Below are 10,226 nucleotides of genomic sequence, written 5' to 3' on the forward strand. Positions count from 1 at the left end.
TCAAACAATCAAACTGAAGCTTCTGACCCAATACACAGTGGCACTGCTCACTGTGCCCTGGATGTCACCACAGGCATCAATGTCATGCTCCTTTATGAATTTGCTCTTGCTACAACTGGTATGACCATCAGAGTCGTTTCTCTACAGGATTTGCTGCTTTGCAGCACCCGCCCTCAATTCAATATCTGTGGTAGTCATAAGCAGAGCCTAGGCCTCTTTCACTGCAAGAAACATCAGAAAAAAGTGGCTGATATATTGAGCTCCATCACCAAAACTTGTAAAATAGGGAACTCTCAAGAAATAAAAAGACAGTACGGAGGTTAAGCAGCCAAAAAGCAATGACTAATGTCCCCAACAAACAGCTGTCTTTAATAAGAATTATCTTTTTGTTTTCAAAAAATCTCTCTGCTGAGATTTTGTTTCAATTCACTGCATTATTTTGACAAGTTGGTGATTTTCAATTTAGTTTCTGGTGCATATGTTAAAATGCAGATCATTATTTTTGATCATGCCACATGCATGAAAAATTCCATTATGTGAGTAATTATCACATGGGGTAAAGACTTGGAAAAGTTCCTGCATATTCTTTTTGTTGTTATTTTTCATTTCTTTTCCTGCATATTCTTGACAGAAATTCTAAAAACAATAGGTAGTAGGGTAGGTAGGGAGGAAACAATACAGACTTTCTCTGAAGTCCTCTGAGGTTTTGTTATGTCTGTTTATTCTCAGTGCAAGAGGTCAAGTTCAGAAAAATGGAAGAATCATATCTCAAAGCTAGTCAAAAATGGGCATTATGAGAATACATGAGGCCGGTCAGAATGATGAATTGGTAATATAAAAGCTCTGGAAATCTCATTTGTTGACATTAGAAAACAGCGGTCTGCAAACTTTCTGTAAAGAGCCCGATAATAAATATTTTAGGTCTTGTGGGCGTCTGTTGCAATTACTCAACTCTGCTGTTGTAGCCTCAAAGCAGCCATAGATGATATACAAATTAATGATTGTGGTTGTGTGCCAATAACATTTACTAACAGAATGATTTCCCCAAGGTTTGTAGTTTGCCAACCCCTGTTAGAGAAAATAGTAATGATACAGATACTTAATATTGAAGAAATGGAAAAAATGCCACAGAGGCAGAAAAGTGTTGAATCTGTCTCTTCCTCTTTGTAAAGAGTTAGGCCCAGGAATCTGAGGAAACAGTCACAACTACTCAAATCTGAATAACCTTAAGTGATCCTCTGTCTATATATGTTGGTTATTTCTTGACACTACTGTGAATTTTTCCTGGGCAACAATCTCAATGGCAGTGCAGCACATTGGAGCTTGACTGTCTAGGTTTAAAGACTGGCTCTGTTAATTACCAACAAAATGAGTTCGGGCAAGAAACAAAACCTAGAGAAAAAAAGAGCAGAAACCACTGGAGTAACAGAGGTGTGGAACACAGTAGGTACTTGACGAAGATGACTTAAGATTTATGTAAAGACTGAACATGTACCACTACTTGTCATGACAGTGGAGCATCCACTTTATAAGAATGACAGTATAATGAGAAAAACACACAAATATATTAAATAATACTTTGAAGAAACTCACCTTTTACTTAATGTCACCACAGAGGAAATTCTGGGTAGAAGTTTAGAATTTACAAAGACTTTGTGCCACAGAAAAAGATGGCCATGAGCAATAGTACTTAAGTTGCTTAGAATGAATAAAAAATGTTCAAAACCTCCTATGTACAGTATAGACACTTTACTTTTATCCAGGAAGACAATAAATTAAGAGGTTGCATATCTGTATCACTTTGTATTCCTTCCATAACAAATCGCCACAAACTTAGTGGCTTAAAACAACAAAACTTTATTAACTTACAGTTCTGTAAGTCTGATATGGGTCTGACTGGACTTAAATCAAGGTGTTAGTAGAATGTATGCCTCCAGAAGGAGGCTGTAGGGAAGAATCCATTTCCTGCTCACTTAGATTTTGGCAGAATTCAGTTTCTTGCTGTTGTAGGACCAAGGTCCCTGTTTTCTTGCTGGCTATAAACTAAGAGCTGTTCTCAGCTTCTAAAGATAACCACATTTCTTGGCTCATGGCCCTCTTCCTCCAACTTCAAAGCCCATCAACAGCAGGACAAGTCTTTTCATGTCACATCTCTCAGACCCACTCTTCTGATTCCCTCTTCCGCATTTAAGGACTCATGATTAGAGGGGGCCAGCTGAGTAATCCAGAATAACCTCACCATCTCGAGGTCCTTACCTTCAATCACATTTGAAAAGTGCTGTTTGACATGTAAAGTAACAATCACAGTTCCCAGGGATTAGGATGTGGACATCTTTGGGGGTTGGGGGGGTAGGAGAGATTATTCTACCTTCCACAATATCTTAGTTGCCTTTCCTATTCTTCCCATTGGTAGTGACATCTGAAAAATGTCAACCTGCCTTTGAGTATTTGGACTCAAAGGTATACATATTCCTTCTGATTTCCGAAAAAGTCTACATACAATAGCAATGACGTATCCATGGATATGCGCTGATCATATGTACATATAAACTCAAAATTTTGTCCTTCAAGTAGAACAGTTACTTTTATTATTAACTATTGTAAGAAGCACTGAACTAGAATCCAGGAGGCCTTGATTGTAGGTTCTACTATGTAACCCTAAAAGAGTCAATGAACTTATTTGGGATTCAGTTTCCTAATCCACATGACACAGAATGTAAATTTGAAAATTCTTAGGTTCCCTTTTAGCTCTAAATATCTGTGATCCATAGTCTGAAAGAAAAAGGGTGGAAGTGGGAGAGTCATTCTGATTTGTTACAAAAATGAAACAAAACTTATATAATGAGAATTTATCAAAAATAAGGGAAAGCCTTGATTTTTTTCTGCCCCATATGTTTTTAATTTAAAATTTTTTTTTAATATTTAGGGGGTACAAGTGCAGCTTTCTTACATGCATATATGAAATCTGGGCTTTTAGTGCACCCATCACCTGAGTAGTGAGCATTGTACCCAATAAGTAATTTTCAACCCTTATTTGCTCCCCATGTGTTTTAATGTAATTTCAGGCATTTGCTTTCTATTGGTCACTCAAGGTTATTTATGTTTAGCTTTTGTCAATGTAATTCTTATACTTCACTCTCACTATTCCATTTACATTTCTATATACCTTCTTACATTATTCATCTCTCATTGCCTAACCTCAGTATTTTTCTCCAAAAAAAAAAAATCAATAAATTAGCATTGCTCTACCTTGCCATACAATGTCTGCAACAAGTCCAAATCAATCTGTTCCTTCTGTGTGGATTATAACATTAAGGAATGAATTCAGACTGAAGATCCTAGTGACCTAAGTAATTTCTGATATCAATATTATTTTCCAATTTTGGCATGCAAAAAATTCAATGGAAATGACAGTATAATTTTACCTGTATTGCAATCCAAGCTGCTAAAGACAATTTTTAAAAGCCAAGCAAAACAATAAAAAAGAAAGCAAATGTACTCAGCTTAAAATAAAGTTCCCTAATCTGGTTCACTATAGTGATAACACATACATGGTAATTTATTTTTTAAAAAAAGATATTGAAAAATGATCAGGTATGGGTGCTCCATTTGGATTAGTCATATGCTGTATGTGCTATTTAAATAAAGCTGCCCAAGTTATACGAATTCAAGTACCCTTCTAGGGCAAAGTCAGAGGTGGAAGAACTGCCTACCTAAAGAATTACTTGGTGCTAAAGGACAGTATGAACCACAGAAGGAGATAAGTAAAACAGGGGCAGGATGACATTATTTAAACTCCAGATTCTCAGTGGAATACTAACATAGTCTGTTATGTTACAGTATTGTCTTTTTTATTTTTTATTTTTGAGACAGGGTCTAGCTCTATCACCCAGGCTGGAGTGCAGTGAGAAGATCTTGGCTTACTGCAATCTTTGCCTCCTGGTCTCAAGGAATCCTCCCACTTCAGCCTCCTGAGTAGCTGGGACTACAGGTGCGCATCATCACGCCTGGCTAATTTTTTGTAGTGACAGGATTTCACCACATTGCCCAGGCTGGTCTGGAACTCCTGAGCTCAAGTAATCTGCCTGCCTTGGCCTTCCAAAGTGCTGGGGTTAAAGGCATGAGCCACTACACCCAGCCGAGTACTGTTTTTTATAGTACACATGAGGTCACATGAGATTGTTAAACAGGAGAGTAATGTTAGAATAATAGGGAAAGTGGGTTGGTTCATACATAATTTTTCATAGCACTTTAATGCTTTGTAGTACAAAGACACAATAGCTGAAGTACAATTATTGCACTTAGTTTTGTGATTGAACCAGGCCTGGGGGAGTATAGCACTCAAATGATGACCTTTCACGGTGTGGGACCCCATTCTTCCCTGGGCTTGGTTCAGCCATATGCTCCATTTTGATAGTGCTTATTTTGCAGCTCCCTCACATCTTTGGGCAAAAGCGACATCAGACAACGAGTCAGAGCCATCCATCTCTGGCAACTCCACATTTCCTGCAAAGTTTGCAACTGCTTCTCCATCTGCTACTTCTGATGATCTCCCGCCCTTGTTTCCATCACTCATCAGTGTCTACCCTTCTGTAAACTGTCATTCTTTAAGCAACCTTCAACTTTTTTAAAAAGGTAAAACTCTTTAAGTTAATATAACATTGCTTTATTTGTTAGGAGTTTTACACGTCCTTCTAAATGAACTACTATTTTCATTTCGGTTGTTATTGTCTGTTAATACTACAGTTCAGTGGTTGCCAGACTTTGTTGTTTATTAGTTAACTACGGATGTTTTAGAATACTGAGGCCCAGCTGAACCTCATTCTATTTAACTCAGAATGTCTTGAGTGTGGGAGCCAGCTATCAGTTTTTAAAGATCATATCAGTAAGTAGCAAAGTTTGGGAACCACCGCTCAGTTGTTCAGAGTTTGAGAGGGCTTTCCCAGACTTATTTTTTCCTTAGGCTCTTATTTTAAGTGAGCCATTTTCTTAAAATGTGAAGATTTTCAGGAATGTATTATACACAGCATATTATAGCCAGAATGTTTTGTCATTTTTTGGCTTCTGCTGTGGTCTGGATACTGGTGTCCTCCAAAATTCATATGTTGGAACCTAATATCCAATATGATAGCATTAAGAGATGGGGTCTTTTGGGAAGTAAGTCATAAGGACTCTGCCCTCATGAACAGGATTAGTGCCCTTACTGAAGAGGTTGAACGGAGCAGCCTTGCCCCCTTCTGCCATGTGAGGATGCAGCAAGAAAGTGTCATCTATAAGGAACAGGCCCTCATCAGACACAGAGTCTACTGTTGCTTTGATCTTGGATTTCTCAGCCTCCAGAACTGTAAAAAATAAATTTTTGTTGTTTATAAATTACCAAGTCTAATGTATTTTGTTATAGCAGCCCAGTTTCCAAAATAAAAATAATGTAAAGGGAGAGCAGGATTTGGGGAGTAAAAAATGGCTGGTAAAAAAAAAAAAATTTTTTTTCTTTTTTTTTTTTTGAGACCAGTCTCAGTCTGTCGCCCAGACTGGAGTGCAGTAGCATGATCACGGCTCACTGGGCTTAAGTGATCCTCCCACTGCAGACTTCCAAGTAGCTGTGAATACAGGTGTGGGCCACCATGCACAGCTAATTTTTGTATTTTTAGTAGAGATGGGTTTTTCCCCATGTTTCCCAGGTTGGTCTTAACCTCCTGGGCTCAAGCAATCTGCCCACCTTGGCCTCCCAAAGTGCTGGGAATACAGGTGTGAGCCACTGCACCTGGTCTAAAAATTTTAATAATAAAAATCAATTTTAAAAATACCATAAAGAATGCATAAAAGCATACGTAAGTATTTTATTAATATATATTGCCCCTTATGAGGTGAAACAGAGGGCCTCCTGAGATATACCGGTTCTCCAGATCTTTAAGGTAAAGTATATGCCCGTGTAAGTATCACCAGTATGTTCCGTGGCCTTGCCATTGGCTAGTGAGCAAAGTGTATCATGTTTACACAGTTCTACAGATTGGCCCCATCTACTTTGTTAACAAGCAGTCTTGCCTTTTCCTGTGTCTCCCTAATCTTGCTAACCTCTGATTCACCAACCACCATTACTATGCCACCTAGGATTTGCTGTCTGCCTCATTTCTTTTCTTTTCCATTTTTAGATAGGGTTTCACTCTATTGCTCAAGCTGGAGGGCAGTAGCTCCAACATGGCTCTCTGCAGCCTCAACCTCCCTGGCTCAAGCTATCCTCCTGCCTCAGCCTCCCAAGTAGCTGGCACTACATGTGCATGACACCATGCTCAGCTAATTTTTTTTTTTTTTGGTGGAGATGGGGTTTTGCCATTTTGCCCAGGCTAGCCTCAAACTCCTGGACTCAAGCAATCTTCCTACCTCAGGCTCCCATAGTGCTGAAATTACACGTGAGCCACTGGGTCTGGCCTCATCACCTTTCTTAAGCTCTGTCTTCAAATCACTTTTTTTCTGCCTCTCCATTCTTTTATTACTTATTAACCTCTGTGAGCACAGAATATGCCTCTCCATTCTTACTGCTACAAATCAGAAACGCATATCTGAACTCCTGCTGGCCTTTTTATCTTCAGTTTTTACCTCCGCTAAATATTAATGTCAGGACCAAGCGTGATGATTCACGCCTGTAATCCCAGCACTTTGGGAGGCCGACGTGGGCGGATCACCTGAGGTTGGGATTTTGAGACCAGCCTGGCCAACATGGTGAAACCCCGTCTCTACTAAAAATACAAAAATTAGCCAAACGTGGTGGTGCATGTCTGTAATCCCAGCTACTCGGGAGTCTGAGGCAGGAGAATCGCTTGAACCCGGGAGGCAGAGGTTGCAGTGAGCCTAGATCGCACCACTGCACTCCAGCCTGGGTAACAAAACGAGACTCCATCTCAAAAAAAAAAAAAAAAAATTAATGTCAGGTCATTTTCCTAAAGTGTATTTGCACTTCTTCTCAAGCACTGATTTAAGTCTTACCTGTTTTGTAAAACCTCCCAAGATTTGAACTCATATCCATCTTTCCCTTCCTTAAGCACTTAAAATGTGCACAGCTGAATCTATCCAATCATAAAAAATGGCCATGAACAAAACACCGTATTGGAATAAGCTTTGGGACTTTAAAAAAAAAAAAAAGGTTATTTATGGTATAGTCTATGTCCTTGAATAACAATGAGTACTCATTATATATCAGGCTCTTCAAGTATTACTTTTAGTTCCTCAACAATTAGATGTAGTTTTGTGTAGTTTTCCTCATTTTACAGATGGGGAAACAGGCACAGAAGGTTAAGTATGCTCAAAGTCAAACAAATAAAAATTCAGGCAGTTCATGAGTCAGTGTTCTTAATAATGATCCTAAACTGCTTCTCAATTAACAAATCACTTATATTTGATCTTTTCCATCCCTTAAGTAATGGAGTTAAATCTACCTGTCTTTATTACCCTAAATGAAAAAAGTAAGTAAAGCACTTTGTAATTTATAGTGTTAAATGAAGACTATCAATTACCTTTATTTGTAATTTGGAATATTCATTTTTTTCATGCAATAATTATTTCATTTTTATAAGTAAAGGTCTGTAACTATTCAGGAATTTCCTTGTAAGTAGAGACGCATGATCTACTTATGTCCTTTTCTGCCTAGGAGAACTCTAGTTAGATCTATTCAATATATATTACTGATTGGTTAACACCTTTGCAACTTGTAGGGAAGTAAAGCATAAACGCGTAAAAGGAAATAAAAGTTCTCATCACATAAGGTTAAAAATATTATTTTATTTTAAAAAACTGCTATTGTGATAGTTTTCCATAAACTATTCAGAGAAGCGCAAATTCAGTTTCCTAGGATTCTACTAGAAGTCTGATCCTTTAGGTTAAGGTTTTCTGCTCAAGATTTAGATTCAGAAGTAATGGAATAAAATTATCTATTACAAGCATACTTTGGTTGATACTTTATCAGTGATATAATGTCATTTAAATGAGCATTACTTTGAGAGGTTTCGACTTAAGGGGCAAGTTTCACTGTTAACTCTTAATTTTTTAGTAGTCAGATGTTTATGTGTATCAGTTTTCCCTTATTGGAGCTTTAATGTAATTCTTCTTTATGAGATGCTAAGGTTTCTACATTCATGTACTCCCAAGGGTACATGGCTAATATAGATAAATCACATATGTAATGTTTGCATCCAGATGTAATTCATTTTGTCTTAGTAAACCGACTTTTATTTATCCATAGGTTTTCTCGCTACATCTGTGATCCTTACAGACTACAGAAAATATAGCGATTTTAAGACACATGTAAAAAAGTTTCCAGCCAAAGAGATTTTGTGATGCTCCATAAACACTGTTCATCTGTTATTTATCTGGCATATTAATTTAATGACAACTACACAGGGCAATAGACTTACAAAAGCACACTCTAAGGGATGAAAAGCCATAGGGAGTATTCATTTTTTTTTTTTTTTTTTGAGATGGAGTATCGCTCTGTCGCCCAGGCTGGAATGCAGTGGCACAATCTTCGCTCACCGCAAACTTCACCTCCCAGGTTCTAGTGGTTCTCCTGCCTCTGCCTCCCTGGTATATGGGACTACAGGTGCCCGCCACCATGCTGGCTAATCTTTGTATTTTAGTAGAGAGGGGGTTTCACCACGTTGGCCAGGATGGTGTTGATCTCTTGACCTTGTGATCCACCCGCTTTGGCCTCCCAAAGTGCTGGGATTACAGATGTTAGCAACTGCACCCGGCCTCATTTTTATAAGATCACACAGAGGTTTTTTTGTTTGTTTGTTTTTGAAATGGAGTTTCGCTTTTGTCGCCCAGGCTGGAGTGGAATGGCGTGATCTCAGCTCACTGTAACCTCCGCCTCCCGGGTTGAAGCAATTCTCCTGCCTCACCCTCCAGAGTAGCTGGGGTTACAGGAACCCACCAACATGCCCAGCAATTTCTTTTTTTAACAAAACTCCTAACACCTCGTTAATCATTAATTAGTCTTTGGGTTTTGGTTCAACACCTAACATTTGCAAATCACACAATTATCTTTGTTCTTTCATTAGCGGAAGACACTTTCATTTGTTACCCTGAGAATATGAGACATTCACAATCTAATTCCTGACTACATTTGATTTCAAACAGATAGGAATAAGTTCCAGAATATAAAATATTAACTATTTGGGAGTATCTTGTGGGTATGCTCTAATTAAGAAATGCTTCCTTTTCCGAGGAAAACTGCTGACATTGCAAGAGTTATTACAAAGCCACAAATCTTAAGAAAATACATGTTTAACTGAAATTATAAAGATATTTTGCAAAAAAGGGAAATCGCTCCTGCTGGTGTTTTGTGTATAAATCTCTTTCTAACTTCAAGCTCTCTCAAGTTAGGGCAACAGTAAATGAAGTGGGAACAGTATCGCATTGGGAAATATCTGAAATGATACCTATGGGACTATCTAACGAAACTGAGGCCCAGAAGAATTGAAGTGACCTGTGCAATGACACCAATTTGTTAGCAGAGCCAAGATTAGAACCAAGTTTGGTGCCTTCCTGCATCCTTCCTGCATCGGTCCTTTCTCGGTGCTGCAGCAGCCTTTTACTTACTAATTTCACCCTGAAGAAAGGTAGACCATCCTGGCGTGGCAGAAGCGTGGACATTCGTTTTCTAAGGGATGGTCACACACCTTTGCCTATTTGCATTTAGTTTCTTTAAAAAGTAAAAACACCTCCATTTTGGAACACTTTTAGAGACAAAAGCAGAACATACGAAAGTGTATTTCACTGCTGAGTTCTTAAGAGGCGTACACCGTGTGGTTATAACGTGCGCAACTCTGTCCCGGGCAACTGAACTTATTTTTAGCGTTATTTTCGGCTTCTGCTGCAGAAAACTAGGGATTCAACTACCCGCACCTACGTTTCACACAACAGCACTCGTCTCTCTCCTTCACTCCTAATAAAAACACCTTACTTCGTTTATTCCTGCCTGCTCTACCTCGTCTCAACATTTTCTCTTGTTAACTTCCACCACACTGCCTTTTACTCGGATTGGAAACCCACTCTCCCCCAACTTCTGTCTCATACCCCCAACTTCTGTCTCATACCCCCAACTTCAGGAAGCGTCTTCCTTTTTTCCGCCTCTCGTTCGCTTTTGTCTTACGAGGCTTCCGGAACACGGCCCAGAATTACAGAGAAAACACACTGCGCACGCGCACTCTCTCGTCACCGCTGTGCGGCTT

General features: G+C 38.8%; 1 long non-coding RNA gene across 2 annotated transcripts in view; it reads right to left on the bottom strand.

The window, feature by feature from the left end:
* The window catches only part of LOC105375470 (uncharacterized), a 32,620-nt gene extending 22,475 nt beyond the window's left edge, over positions 1–10,145 (bottom strand). For both annotated transcript variants that reach the window (XR_927904.3, XR_927903.3), the window contains exon 1: positions 10,092–10,145. This is a non-coding gene — a long non-coding RNA (uncharacterized LOC105375470). The remainder of the gene's footprint in view (positions 1–10,091) is intronic.
* Positions 10,146–10,226: the final 81 nt, after the last annotated feature.

This window comes from Homo sapiens, chromosome 7 (genome assembly GCF_000001405.40).
Source record: "Homo sapiens chromosome 7, GRCh38.p14 Primary Assembly".
In the NCBI taxonomy this organism is placed as follows: Eukaryota; Metazoa; Chordata; class Mammalia; order Primates; family Hominidae; genus Homo; species Homo sapiens.